The sequence below is a fragment of the Homo sapiens genome, chromosome X, assembly GCF_000001405.40.
Source record: "Homo sapiens chromosome X, GRCh38.p14 Primary Assembly".
Classification (NCBI taxonomy): domain Eukaryota; kingdom Metazoa; phylum Chordata; class Mammalia; order Primates; family Hominidae; genus Homo; species Homo sapiens.
In genome coordinates this window covers 15,906,340-15,922,143 of record NC_000023.11, presented here as the reverse complement: position 1 = coordinate 15,922,143, position 15,804 = coordinate 15,906,340, and the positions used below count along the sequence as shown (strand labels likewise).

General features: G+C 41.8%; 2 pseudogenes, besides 1 other annotated feature; one reads left to right on the top strand and one right to left on the bottom strand.

Annotated features, from left to right (window-relative positions):
• SETP15 (SET pseudogene 15) lies at positions 4,297 to 4,669 on the bottom strand (annotated as a pseudogene).
• RNU5F-7P (RNA, U5F small nuclear 7, pseudogene) lies at positions 5,841 to 5,955 on the top strand (annotated as a pseudogene).
• Positions 12,566 to 13,478: an enhancer, noted in NCBI's record as "NANOG-H3K27ac hESC enhancer chrX:15926789-15927701 (GRCh37/hg19 assembly coordinates)". NCBI's record gives its function as "activates a minimal SCP1, AML or CMV promoter by ChIP-STARR-seq in naive H9 embryonic stem cells {active_cell/tissue: H9 hESC(naive)}" and the evidence as "EXISTENCE:reporter gene assay evidence [ECO:0000049][PMID:30033119]".

Below are 15,804 nucleotides of genomic sequence, written 5' to 3'. Positions count from 1 at the left end.
AAAAGAAATCTCAGTGACAGGTAACTCAAAGCAGTGGCTTAGAACTCTGGTTTATATAGCATCTTTAACAAAGAACCATGAATTTTAGGGAAGTAACACACAAAGAAAAGCAGTTTTAGGCTTCCAAAGGTGGGAAACCATGGAAAGGTCAATACATGGGAGTAACCTAATGGAGCAAGTTTTGTTAGTAGATTCCTCTGGTGCCATCTCTGAGCTGATAAGAGTTGTCTCCAGTAAAGGAGAATTTATGTCCTCTCTTTAGGCAAAAAGTGAAGGGGTGGGGAATAGAAAGAGCTCTTCCTCTGATTGCTGATTCTTATTTGCCTTTAGCTCAAAAATATTTATGTCAAAGAGGCATATTTTGAGGTGACACATTCTGGTTTCCTTCACAGCCAAACAGAAAGTACAAAGAAATTTTATGCTATTATCTCAGCATGAAAGAACTGACGGGGGTGGGGGGTCGGGGGGACGGGGTTGTTTGTTTGGTTGGTTGGTTTTTTTTTTTTTTTAAACAGAGTCTCGCTCTGTCGCCCAGGCTGGAGTGCAGACAATCTCGGCTCACTGCAACATCCACCTCCCGGCTTCAAGAGATTCTCCTGCGTCAGCCTCCAGAGTAGCTGGGATTACAGGCGCCCACCACCACGCCCAGCTAACTTTTGTATTTTTAGTGGAGATGGGGTTTCACCATGTTGGCCAGGCTGGTCTGAAACTCCTGACCTCTGGTAATCCACCTGCTTCCACCTCCCAAAGTGCTGGGATTACAGGCATGAGCCACGGCGACCAGCCGAAAGAACTGTTAAAAACAACCCACAAGATGAGGGGATGAGGGTGACTCTTTGTAAAGAGTCTCTTCATTAAAACCCCTCCTCATAGCAAAAAAAAAAAAGAAAGAAAAAGAAAAAAAAAACCCACAAAAGGCTGGGCGCGGTGGCTCACGCCTGTAATCCCAACTCTTTGGGAGGCCGAGGCAGGCGGACACGAGGTCAGGAGATCGAGACCATCCTGGCTAACACAATGAAACTCCGTCTCTACTAAAAATCCAAAAAATTAGCCGGGCATGGCGGTGTGCACCTGTAGTCTCAGCTAATTGGGAGGCTGAGGCAGGAGAATTGCTTGAACCCGGGAGGCGCAGGTTGCAGTGAGCTGAGATCAGGCCACTGCACTCCAGCCTGGGCAACAGAGCTAGACTCTGTCTCAAAAAAAAAAAAAAAAAAAAAAAAAAAAAACCCATAAGATAGGTTTTGGAAGAAAAATCTGATATCCTGAAGAAAATCAAGACATTATATTACCATCCAGTGAACAAAAGACCTCACTAATCTGTGTTCTGGGCCAGACCCATCCATGGAAATGTCAGAAATTGAACAAGCCAGAACTGATCTCTTTTTATTCCACCTGAGTCGGTTTTAGGGTAGGATCATGAGTTCCACTGGTCAGGCTGTGAGCCCCCTCTGTTCCTTATTTTATAATGTGATGACTGGACCTTTCACACATCTTCCCTGATATAATTAGTGTGCCATCCTTAGAGGAAGACATTGCTATCTCCATTTTGCAGATGAGAAAATGAGGTTTAGAATAAAGTAATTTGCACAACACTTCCCCTAGCACCAGTGCTGATGCCAGCATTTTAAAACCCAAATCTTCCTGCTTCCGGAGCTTACATTATTTTCTCTATAACACACTGCCTCTTGGGTCATAAATTTATGAGATCATAATAAATATCTTTCAAATTCTGGTATCAGAATGGAAGGCACTCTTCTTTGTTTGGACAAGAAGAATCAAGAGAGGACTTAACTCATTCTTGGAGTTGACAGCAGTGAAAATAACAGCAGTGATAACAGAGCATGGGCAAATCATTTATTTTTTTCCTGCATCTAAGTTTCTTTAGGTGATGAATCGCAATGATGAAATGAGAAAAAGAGCAAAGGGACACTAGAAAAATTAACCTAGTGTTTATGACAATTCGACAAAGGAATAATAAAAATTCTTATAATTCTTTTTTGTTTTTAGAGATGGGGTCTTGCCATATTGCGCAGGCTGGAGTGCAATGGCTATTCACAGGAACAATCATAGTGCACTACATCCTTGAACTCCTGGTCTCAAATGGTCCTCCTGCCTCAGCTTCCTGAGTAGCTGAGACTGCAGGCATGTGCCACCGTGACCAGCTCTCTTATTAATATATGTCTCATCTACATTAGCAAGACTATTATGCAAACACCCAGAAACAATAAACAACCAAAATATTTATAGACAGTGGTATGGATAAATGAATTGTGTACATTCACCAAATGAAATGTAAGGGCACTAGTTGTGGTGTTTTGTTTGTTTGTTTGTTTGTTTTTTGAGACAGAGTTTCACTCTTGTTGCCCAGGATGGAGTGCAGTGGCGTGATATGGGCTCACTGCAACCTCCACCCCCCGGGTTCAAGCGATTCTCCTGCCTCAGCCTCCCAAGTAGCTGGGATTACAGGCGTCTGCCACCAAGCCCAGCTAATTTTTTGTATTTTTAGTAGAGACGGGGTTTCACCATGTTGGCCAGGCTGGTCTCAAACTCCTGACCTCACCCACCTTGGCCTCCCAAATTGCTGGGATTACAGGCGTGAGCCACCGTGCCTGGCCAAAGGCACTAGTAAAAAGAAATGAATACCAACTACAAACGATGATACGGATGAACTGATAAATGTTAGAAACTTGAAGGAAAAAAACACTACATACATTATTATGACATTTGCATAAAGCTCAAAAACAAGCAAAACTAAACAAATTGTTCAGAAATGCATCTGGTAAGAGTAATTTTTTTTTGTTTTTGTGTACACATTTAGTCTTTTGTAACAAAAGCAACTTGTACACGTTTAACATTTAAAACTGAGCATCATCTTTCCTTTCCAGTAAATCAAAATTTAAAAATAAACACGGACAAAATTACAATAGAGCATGCCAATTCCAAATGAGATCCTACAGGTTCTGCTGATTCTTCTAGCAAGTGGCAGGGCTCAAGTCATCAGTAGGAGAGAATTCATTTTTAGTGTCATCTTAAACTGCAAGGATGCCTGGTAAACATCAAAATTATTTTTCACCAAACTGATGCTTAAAAAAAAAAACCACAATTAAACATACCAAAGGAGAAACCATGTTGTCAAAATGCCCACTTCACCCATCCAAACATCTCAAACCTAACCTTTACTGACTTCCTAGAACCCCATTTTAAAAAATTCTTTTTTATGTTTTTAAACAAGAGAAAGTAGACGGATGCATGTTGGTAAATGCTAATTGTCCTTATTCACAAAGAGACACAGTGTTCTTTCTGAGAAGGAAAAAAGCTAGAATTCTATGCTCTACCACACAGGGGCCTAACACCCTTCTGCTTCCAGCAGAGCAAAGGAAGCAGATTTTTCTTTTTTCCCGCAGAGCTCAGTGGTGTTGATTCCATACAGTTTTCGTTGAGACAGAAAGGGATAAAAATGAATTGAAACAGAAAGGGGTAGAGACTCTTTTCCCATTGTATATTGCTCAAGGTGCCTCTTCTTCCTCTTCCCCAAGCAGTGCAGACACTTACAGATGTGAAATTACTTTTGCAAAATTATGAGAGTAAGATAAATCTGACATAGTTGACTCCATCTTGCTTCTAACCTCCAAGCTGTCCTTTGTCATTCCTGGGTATAGGCTAAGCTAATTTGAGGAATAATTTAGTTTAGAGTTTAACCAAAGCAAGGATGATAATAGCCCTTCCCAAAACTAAACCACCACCACCTTTGTAAAATGAATCAAAGCCCACAAGTTTAGGATTATGAGAGGGGCCAAAATTCTGTTAAATTGTAAGCATAAACAACTGTTCCAGGGTTCACAAGATTTGTAACTTCCCTAATTACTTCTGTAGGTAACATCCTTACTGTAGAACCTAAGGTTGGCCTTTCGAGATATTTTTTCAGACTTCTGCATTTCTGATGATGGGATGACTCTACTCAGATGACTCTACCTGGACTGTGACTGCAGCTCATGACCCAACTGGTCCTACAGCCCCCACTTAGAGGCTGACTCAGTGCACAAAGACCATTTTCCACACCTCTATGATTTCATCCCCAACCAATCAACATTTCCCATTCCCTAGTCCCCTGCCCACCAAACTATCCTTGAAAACCCCTAACCTCCAAGCCTTTAGGGAGACTGATTTGAGTAATAACTCCATCTCCTGCGTGGCCGGACTCGTGTCAATTAAACTCTTCCTCTACTACAATACCATGGTCTCAGTGAATTGATTTTATCTGTGCAGCAGGCAGGAAGAATCCGTTGGGTGATTACAGATGACTGACAAATGCTGTTACCCCAAAATTTGGGATTTGGGGGATCAATTCTGACCTCTTCTGAAAAAATGGTTGGCAGAGTTTGTTATATTTCTGTTCTACTGTCAAAATCTTCTCACTGGCTAGTTCATTAAATCTATTTCATTTTTTACTTCATCAATATGTTCAATAGCTTCTTGTAGTTTTTTTTCTCCCTTCTTCAGCAAGCCCAGAAAGGCTGATGTCTCTGCCTGTCTCAGAGGAGAAAGTGGTCTTGGTTTCTCCTTTTGAGGCATGAGTGGAGAAAGGCATATGGGAGCTGTGTTGTGAGGAAAATCCAGGAACCAGACCACGAGTCTCCTGACTCCTTAGGAAGAAGCTCAGAAAACTCAGTAGTTTGTTTTTAAAGAAGGGGAATGCAAAATTCAGGAGAGCAGGTATTTTGGTGGGAGAGGCAGACATCATGGAGAACAACCCAGATATTAATGTTCCAGCCTCTGTGTGTTTATATGTCAATAGTCTTCACAACTTACATATATATTATACATTATATTTATTATTTATTTTATATATATAATATAGTGTAATAAAATTTTAAGATAAAATATATTTTCTGTCATCATATTGTGGGGCAAAGTCTTAAAAGATCTTAAGATCATTGATTTTCCTTGATAAGCTAAGGATTTGTAAGAATTGAGAAGAGAAACCAGGTAAATCTAAATTTTGGTGCAAAGGGCCCAAAGTGCATTTCTCCAGCCAACATTTAGAGCAGCCCCCATCAGCTGATACAGCAGTTTCCTGAAACCCAGGATCCCTTTCCCAGCTTGACTCCAAACACCTCAGAATTACTGAACTGGCTCATGTTAGCTAGCCGGCTGGCTTCCACCAGATAAGACCATTTGATATATCATGTAACCACTTTAAGAGTTTATCTTTTGATTCACCAGGAAAAATCTTCAGTCCAAAACATTAAACGGGCATTTTTCAAAGACTGGGAAAATAATGAACATTATCAGCAGTTTCCTGCCATTCTTTGTGTCCTTGATGCTCCACGGTGAGAGTTCATGAACTAAATGGGGCGTATTGGAAAAGCCTTTTGGAGCCTGGATTTATGATTGGGAGTTTTCCTTCTGAGTACAATGCCCTGCACATCTAAGATTTGTTTTCAAAGAGAAATGGAACTATCTGACATATTTCTGACTTGGTTTTTAATTCCTCTTGTCCTCGTGTTAGTCTCATATAGAAAGTGTAGAGGAGAGATGAGGAGTAGGGAGGAGAAGAGGTGGGGACAGGAAATGGAAAGTAGCAAGAAAAGGGGAAATGTAGAAGAGAGGGAAGGGGGAGGGAGATGGGGAGAGGGAGGAGGGAAGAGGCATGGCAAGAGGAAGTGGGAAAGGGAGTTGGGGAGGATAAGTCACAGACTGAGCAACCACAGTTCCTCACACTGTGCTTGATTATTTCCGTAGAGGTCAATCCATTTACTTCTTATAATCTGTGAGCTGAGTCAGGAAGCTTGCAACTCAGTAAGGCAGAAGCCTTAGATTCACACAGCCAATAATATTGGATGCTCTGGTTTCTCTTCAGAACAAATAAATATTTGGCCTTTTACTAAAGATTTCCATGGAGAGGAACAATTATTAATTAATAACCAAATTTTTGAGGTCCTGCTTAGGCAGGGCCAAGTAAATAATAATAAATAAATAAATAAATAAATAAATAAATAAATAATGATTAGATTAAACTCCAGATCTTTCTGACTCTGAAACCAACTTTCTCCTAGTGCCCACCTCTGGGAACTGGAATTCCCAAAGGCAGTAATTTATTAAGGAGCGGGGTCCGGGGCAATACGATGGGGACCCCAAATATGCAGGGTATGCAAGGGCAAGATTAAAGGAAACTAACAAGGAATGGTGCATTACCTTGGCGTTAGCAACTTCCTGAGAACTAAGCTCTGGGAGAGGGCTACCCAGGCACCACAACCGTCAATACAAGAATGCACTAATGACAGCCTACAGGGAGGCAGGGTAGGGGTCACAATATATCACCCACCCTTGTCTACAACCCTCCTCCAAAGCTCCTCCATGGAAAACTCTCATTTGCCACCAAAAAGAAGAGTATTTGATCATTTTTGACTAGGCTTGCTAACAATTTCATTGAACAGAAGGTAACAAAAGAAATGCGACAGACACTTCATTCTGAACAGTCAAGAACAATTGATTAAACAGAAGTGTGAAGAACCTTTGAATAAAGGGATTGATTGTGTTATCTGAAAATCCAAAGGCAAGGAAGGTAAAACTGGTTGTAGACTTTAGGAAAACACATTTCTACTGATGCACAGAAAAGATAGAATCACAGAAGAAATAGTATCAGGGGACTCTAATCCAAGCTAGAAGCTCTGAAAATATACTTCTGGCTATTTAATAAGAATACCATAGGCCAGGCATGGTGGCTCACGCCTGTAATTCCAGCACTTTGAGAGGCTGAGGTGGGCAGATGGCTTGAGCCCAGGTGTTCAAGACCAGCCTGGGCAACACAGGGAGACCCTACTTCCACGAAAAATACAAAAGTTAGCTGGGCACGGTGGTGCATACCTGTGGTCCCAGCCACTTGGGAGGCTGAGGTGGAAGGATCGCTTGAGCCCAGGAGGTTGAGGCTGCATTGAGCCGTGATCATGCCACTGCACTCCAGCCTGGGCCACAGAGCGAGACCCTGTCTCAAAAAAAAAAAAAAATTGTAATACTGTTTAAAACTAGAGAAATAATTTAATAAACAAATTTTGCTGTGAGCTCAGGTGTTTAAAAGGATAAGAAATGACCACAACAACCTTTCCCACCTCACTTGGACTCTAGGGAAGGTTTCGAGCATCCTGAACAAGGTGAAATTCTCACATACTTGAGGTCAAAGCTCTGAGCAGGAGGACTAAGGGCTCTCTTGATTCTTTCCTCTGGGCCCCAGCAGAGTGCCACAGGCATAGGTTGAGAAATCCCCATCAGAGCCTGGAGGGGTCCAGGAGAAAGAAATGGAAGATGGCTGCTCAATGATCACGGGTATCCAGTCCTTCAGTCAACAAAAAGGGAGCTCTTGACCTTCCTACACAATCCATCCCAAGTTCCCAATGCAGGTGAGCAATTAGGGATGCAGAATATGCTAGGAATAGGAGCATGCATTTATCATCCAGGGTCCTGCCAGGAAACAGATGGCAAACTCACATGGGGTAAGTGAGAAAGGTTTAATAAAGAACTCTCTATAAAGGCAAGGGCAAGGTTAAAGGAAACTAACAAGGAATGGTGCATTACCTTGGGGTTTGCAACATCCTGAGAACTAAGCTCTGGGAGAGGGCTACCCAGGCACCACAACCATCAATACAAGAATGCAGCTAATGACAGCCTACAGGGAGGCAGGATAGGAGTCACAATATATCACCCACCCTTCTCTACCGCCCTCCCCAAAGCCCTGCATGAGCTGCACATTGCCAGAGGGCAAATGAGCCCTGATGTGGTCCATGGACCAAGGCAGACAAGAATGAAGAGTAGACCAGAGGGGCAAACAGAGAGTAGCCAGCACAATCATTCTAAAATTATGAGCATATGCATGGACTTAGCTACAAGGATATTCATCACAGCATTATTTGTAAAAGCAAATATATGGAAATAACCTAAATGTTAGATAGGGAGAAAAAAATGATGCCATACCCACATGAGGGCAGAGACTATCTTACCTATTTTTCTGTATAAACTGCAGCAATTGGAATAATGCTTTGCATAGAAAATATTCATTAAATATTAAAATGCTAGTGTGGGCCGAGCATGGTGGCTCACACCTGTAATCCCAGAAATTTGAGAGGCTGAGGTGGGTGGATCGCTTGAGCCCAGGCATGGAGGCACATGCCTGTAGTCCCAGCTACTCAGCTATCCAGGAGGCTGAGGTGGGAGGATTGCTTAAGCCCGGGGGGTCAAAGCTGAAGTGAGCTGTGATTGCACCACTGTACTCCAGCCTGGACGACAGAGTGAGACTCTGTCTTAAAAAAAAAAAAAAAGGTAGTTTAGGGGTACATTTACTGACATGAAAAGATGTTCATGATTCAGTTAAACAAGAAACAGGTCACAAAAATATGTGGTAATGATCTTATTTTATTTGATAGCTGGCTTCATAGATAGATACAGAATACAGATTTGGAAAAACATACATGGAGATGGTTAAAGTGATGAATGATGCTCAGAGGGAGACTGTTTTGTTTGGATTGGGTTGGGTTGGTTGGGTTGGGTTTGGTTAGGTTTGGTTTGGTTTGGTTTGGTTTGGTTTTGTGCTTCCGTTTTTTATTTCTCTGTAGTGAATACAGTTGTTTTCGTAGTAAGAAAAATACATCTTTTTTTTTCTATTTTACTTATAAAACAGTGTTGGTTTTCCTGGTGTTTTCCTTTCCCTTCCCTGCATTATCTCTTGCTCTATAACCTTGAGAGTGGCAGCAGATGGCAGGGCAAGCATGTGGATGGAGGGGAGGGGAGGGAATCCCACCATATGGGAATCATGACTCACAGCTTTCACAGCTTGTGGAGCACTGAGGACCAAAATACATACAGAAGAGTGGAAGGGGCTTAGAAAAAACCTCCTGCACAAGGCTCAAATCCTAGGAAGCTGAGATTTATAGTACATGCTGAGGATGACTAAAAAGTATTTTTAAGCTATATTGGAAGGAAGATGAACAAGCAGGGAAGAGCATCACTGCTAGGTAAAGATGTTGCATTACCAGATCGCAGGGAGGAGAAGCCTTCAATTCCCATTTTGCTTTAATCTCAACCATAAATAAGACTTTCTTCTTTATCTCTTTCTTGGCCATCATCATCACCAGCAACATCAGCATCATCACCACCATTAACATTGTCACCTCCTCCAAAATTACCACTATTATCATCATCATCTCCATCCAGATAGTTAAACGTCCTAAGAACAGCAAATGTCTTATCCTCTTATATATGCTGGAACATTCACATAATCCTACATAGTTCAGTAAACATGAATTGACAAAGATGAAGGCTCTCTTATTAAATGAGAAGATAACATGATGCTGCTAGGAAGAGGTAATATATTGGATGAAAAGTTTGTAAACTTTGAGCCAACATTTCAAAGGGAGAAAACTTTTGAATCATGTATCCCCCCATGTTTATCTGTATTTATTTACAAATTATATACATGTTCTACCACTATAGTCCAATATTATATACATTATAACATACACATAAATTAAAATTTTTTAATGTTGCCATGAAAAAGATAATTTTTGGGTGGTTTGCACACCCTGCATGGGAAACCACTATTCAACATGACCGTATCAGAATCAAAAGTTTTTTAAATAAACCTGTAAAAGGAGCTGTAACCAACAACAGAAGATTAAATACAGATGAGGATCAAATGCTGCATTTTGAATTCCCAAACTGAGCCTAAGTTGAGGAATTTAATATGCAAGCGCAATCTTGTAATGCCAAAAAATCACCACCAGATGACTTGTAGCTCTAGTGATTTAATATGGGTGGACTGAGCAATAAGCAGCATTTAAAGAAAAGCCAACCTTGACAATTATTCAAATGTCCCAGATGGTGCCCTGTTCCCTCTACTATCACTATTTAACATTGCTGTACTAAATTGCTGTATTTTCTTTCTAGGGATTTATTGGAACAAAATAAGGTCTCAGAGGGCAGGAGCAATATGTGCTTGCTTCCATCACTTTTGGAAACTGCCTCAATACCCAGGCAACCAGAAATTTTCAATTACCCAAGAGAGCCCTGTTTCTCATCCCTATGGGGATCAGTATCATAGGGTCTGAGTTACTAGTTATTAACCACAACAGAAGGGGAAGAAGGAGGGGACCATCCTTGTTAATTCACCAGTCTGGTCTCCTTGCACAATTCTACTCAAGCCTAGATACTGATGTCATAATTTGAGGTCAGATTAGGGAACTTCTGCAGAAACCATCACCCCCACAGAAGGGAGATGAGGCAACCAGAATGTGCCCTGAGTAAGATAGCACTTCAGCCCTAGTGGCTTTATGGAAAGTGGTATAAGAATAGACAGAACAAAGACTTTGGAGTCAGACAGATCTACGATGGAATCCTCCATCTGTTGCCCGCTGCCTGTGTGACACTGGGCAAGCAACCCAACTTCTCCATTATAAAATGCAGTTAGGAAAATGTCATAATATATTTTAGGCTTATTGTGAGCCCTGGATATAATATTTTTGGATCATCAGCCACAGGATCCAGGCTCACCTTCTGCTTGGTCCTGCATAAATTTTAATACCTGAGGCACTAGTTTAAAACACAGATTGTCAGGTTTCTCCTGATGGCGTAAACGCAGGGTGGGTCCCTGCCTCTGGGGAATCTATATTTTTTAAGAAGCCTCGGCAGGGTGAGGTGGCTCACACCAGTAATCTCAGCACTTTGGGAGGCCAAGACGGGAGGATCACTTGAGACCAGGAATTTGAGGCAAGCCTGGGCAACATATTGAGACTCCATCTCTACAAAAATAAAGATAAAAATTAAAAAATTAGCCGAGCATGGTGGCATACACCTGTAGTCCCAGCAACTTGGGAGGTGGAGGCAGGAGGATGGCTTGAGCCCAGGAGTTCCAGGCTGCAGCAAACTAGGATCGTGCAACTGCACTCCAGCCTGGGTGATAGAGTGAGACCCCATTCCTTAAAAATAATTTTAAAAACAGAAGTCCCCTTCTACCACCCAGGTGATTCTGATTGTGAAACAAGTTTAGGAACCCCCGAACCAACAGTTATTTACCATTATTGTGAGCATTATTGATTGGTATTTTTGTTACTTCCTGCCCACCACTGTGGCACAGCTTCCCGGTCCCAGGGAACCATGGTCATAGAGCTGGCCCACTTTCTTCCACCAAAAGGACTGCATTTTTCTTTCCTTTTTTTTTTTTTTGAGACGGAGTCTTGCTCTGTCGTCCAGGCTGGAGTGCAGTGGCAGGATCTCGGCTCACTGCAAGCTCCGCCTCCCGGGTTCATACCATTCTCCTGCCTCAGCCTCCCGAGTAGCTGGGACTACAAGCGCCTGCCACCAGACCCGGCTAAATTTTTTTGTATTTTTAGTAGAGATGGGCTTTCACCGTGTTAGCCAGGATGGTCTCAATCTCCTGACCTCGTGATCTGCCCGCCTCGGCCTCCCAAAGTGCTGGGATTACAGGCGTGAGCCACCGCGCCTGGCCGGCACTGCATTTTTCTACTCTACTTCCCTCCCCCAACCCTCACCTTCCAATCAACCTGCTCTTTGCCATTTGTCTCAAGTGGATGGATCACATGAAGGCTTTGAACTGAAAATGACTTGCTGAGTTATGTATGCAGACCAGGGATATTTCATAAAAAGGGGCATAAACTAGAGAAATTCATTCTAAATAATGACAATCCTGGCTCAGTGGGAGATGTTTTGAGAAAAGAGATCTCTTAATTCCTTCCATGGCCTACTTGCTGATTCACTTGCATGTGCATAGGAATCACATGGAGATCTTGCTGAAATGCAGATTCTGCCACTATATACCATATTTAAGGTGAGCCTCTGAGACGGCATTTCTAATAAGCTCCTGAGTAATGCCATGCTGGTGGTCCAACGACATTTTGAATGTCAAAGGATGGTTAATGGTGAAGCAAAGAGAGCTACATCCCCAAATGCTTAGAAACTTACCAACACCTACAGCCTAAAGTGATCATGAATGCTGTAGAAAAGTTTACATTTTTCCCCTGAAGGTTCACTCATTTGAGCCTATAAAACAAATTGATGATACAAAGATTAACAGAAAAAAATGCCATAAATATTTATTACATGCTGGGAGTCACACAAAATATGAAAATGCAAAAAAATGGCCAGATGGTTGATGCTTTTGTACCGTCTTAAGGTTACAGAAAGAATAGGGGTTTAGAGCATGCAAGTCATGGGAGGTAGAGAAGAGGAAGAAAGGCATGGAGCAAAGGCCATCTTTTTATGTAGATGAAACTTCCCAGGGAGCAGCCCTCAGAAAGAATAGATGGTAGCCTGTGGTGAATGTTTCTGTCAGACCTTTAAAGGCGTCAGGCTCTCAGTCAATCTTTCCTAGATGTAGACAAGGGAGGAGCCTCAGAGAAAGCCTGGCTGTTTATTTCACCTATGCAGATTTTCTCTGCAGATGCAAATCTCCTCCACAAAAGGCAGTTTTGCTGGGCTATTCCTGTCTGCAGGCCCTCTGAATACCCATCTCGAAATATGTCAGAAAAGTATATTTGCAGGTGAAATATTTTTGGTTTGCTTTAATGTCTAGAATCCATTAATTTAGTAAAGCACCAACAGATAGAGCCTGTTCCCAGTAAACACACACACACACACACACACTCCACCAACAAACACCAAATCAGAACGTTAAAAATCATTACTTTCCACCAGGCAGAGGGCACTGATGTCAAAGAGCTTCAAAATTTATTTTAAAAGCATTTATGCAGTAATTTTAAACAATTGTTTAGCAACAATTATAAAAGTTAAGCAAAAGCACATAATGCTGTTTTACACATGATAGACCATACAAGATCACCAAGATAATTGTTGATAAAGCCAGCACTCCTGGAACCATGAAATTTTCATTAGCCAGTGTGGCACAGTCAGCTCTACAAATTTGAAAGGTTTGGAAAACATTCAACTACTGGCTACTGCTGTTAATGTTCTGTAGCAAGTTAAAGCACAATGTGAAACAATAAAATACTGAATGCAAGAGCTGGGAACAATGGAGCACAGTCCTGGCATTATGCAATCTGAGCAGCAACCTAATTGTAACTCTCAAAGGTCTCTACAAAGCCACTGGCTGGTCTAAACTGTTACACAGTTCAAACTCCTTAGCAGCAATTGTCTTTGGGAAAACCAACTCTACCTTGGATGTGTGTGTGTAAAGCTTCAAGGGACATGGATATTCAGGGTCACAAATGTCTTAAGTGATCCTTCAGTTCCACCCATCACCTATGAAAGCCAGCTTTGGCGCTTGCACAGATCCAAAGCCTCTGCCTAAGGCAGCTGGAACCTCTCAGAACAACATGGCAGTGTTTGTTTATAACCCATTTAAAACTGCCACCACTCTTGAGAGGACACCGGCTATGCCCCTGGCCCGGAGTCCACTTGCCCTTTGTCCAGAAAGCCTTCCTCCTCTCCCTGGAAACTTGACTTTTTAGCCTCCAGCTGCTAAGCTACCAGTCTGAGCAAAACAGCATCAAGCAATGTCAGGCAGAAACGTTAACTGTGTCTGCGGTTCTGCCCGTACCTTTGGGAAGACAATATTATACTCAACTAGAAGGCTAATCTTCTTCATATACTCCAACTCATTAGATTTTAACCTCTTGTGACTTTTTAAAGTAGAAAGGACAAAGGAGAAGCAGCTTGTTTATCGTCTAGGCTGAGACAATGGGACAACTGTGTAGTTTATCTCTGGTATTAAATGTGTCGCTCAGGTTTATTTATGCTTCATTTTAAATTTTTATTTATTTACGTATTTGAGATAGGGTCTCACTTTGTCACCCAGGCTGGAGTGCAGTGACTTGATCTCAGCTCACTGCAAACTCTGCCTCACAGGCTCAAGCCATCCTCCCACCTCAGCCTCCTGAGTAGCTGGGACTACAGGCACGTGCCACCACACTTGGCTAACTTTTTATTTTTTTGTAGAGATGAGGTCTCACTACATTGCCCAGACTGGTCTGGAATTCATGGGCTCAAGTGATCCTCCCGTCTCGGCCTCCCAAAGTGCTGGAATCACAGGCGTGAGCCACCGCACCTGGCCTATGCTTTAACTTTTGATTGATCTACAACACACATACAGGAAAGTGTGCAAATTATGTATGAACAGCTCAATGAATACTCACAAACCAATTATATTCTTTCAATCAGCACTCAAACAGGAAATGGAGCACTACAGCATCCCGGAAGCCCCTTTTGTGCGTGTTTTCAGTCACTATTCCCCAGGAGAATGACTATCCTGACTTTCAACACTCCACAGATTAGTGTATTTTCAAACTTTAAATTATTAACAACAATTTTTTTAAGTCAGGGTTTTTTTTTTAAATAATAACTTAAGGATCTTAATATTAAAGTCTTTTTTTTTAGGCCAGTCCAATTGCCATGGACAGAATCATGTCCCCCCCAAATTTATATGCTGAAGCCTCAACCCCCCAGTGTGACTGTATTTGGGGTTAGGGACTTAAAGAGGAAATTAAGGTTAAATGAGGTCATAAGTGTGGAGCCCTAATGAGATAAGATTGTGACCTTGTAAGAAGAGAATAAGAGAATGAGATTCCTATCCTCCAACCCCCACCCCCACCCAAGTGAAGACACTGGGAGAAGTTGGCCATCTGTAAGCCAGGAAGGGAGCCCTCACCAGCAACCAAATCTGCAAGGGCCTTGATCTTGGACATCCCAGCCTCCAGAACTGTGAGAAATAATATTTCTGTTGTTTAAGGCACCCACTCTGTAGCACCTATTTTTTTAAAAATGTATTTTATTTTCTAAATTAATTTTATTTTTTAACATTTTCATTCTTTTTAGAGACAGAGTCTGGAATGCAGTGGCATGGTCATTGCTCACTGCAGCCTCAAACCCCTGGGCTCCAGCAATCCTCCTGCCTCAGCCTCCTGAGTAACTGTATTTCACTTTTTTGAGTAAAAACTTTCGAGTAAAGTTTATCACCAAAGACCAGCCTCTGCATTTCAAAATAACACATTGGTTTTTGTCAGTATTAAGAGAAGTCGGGACACAAAATTAACTTAATACTGTCCAGTAAGAAAAGTGGTTTTATTAGATAAACATAATGAGACCTATGAGCAAAGTGCTGGGGTGCAAAGGCAAGATCTCCCTCTTCTATGAAATTCATGCTTTACTTGGAAAGTTTCCATTATTCCACATCAATGACAGGTATTAATGGCATTTCTAATGTAGGTTTAGGTGCCCTGACTTTGAAGTAATGCAATAAAACCTGTCCTTGCCACTGCCTTTGAAATCAGGGTGGTAGCTGCAGTGCCTCACACTAAATGTAGATATTCAACACATGTTGTTGATTAAAGAGGTGCCTGGAGGATTGTGAAGTGTAGCTGGAGTGAGAGAGGTGCCAAGAGGTGGCTCTCTTTAATTAACACTCTGTTGGGAAGAATTCCGCACGCCCAGTGGAATCACCCGTAGTACCCAAAGGGAGTGCAGTGATTCTATTTGCAAGCCAGTGTGATGAGAAGTGTTTCCACTGAGTCATATTTTCAAAAGCATCGTTTTTCCCTCCTGTAAACAAACACCAATTAATGTGCAAGATGTAACTTTCTTAGAGTTGAATAAAAATAACACAGCAATCGGGTGATATGCAATTTGCCACTTGTACTTTCAATTTACAGACCTATTGCATGCCACTTGTGTTGGTTAAAGAAACAAGAAATAATTAGAAAGATAGGCTAATAGGGATAATAAGATATTTGTGATATCTGGGTCTTCCTCATAGCTCAAAAGACACTGTTTATTATACTACATCCA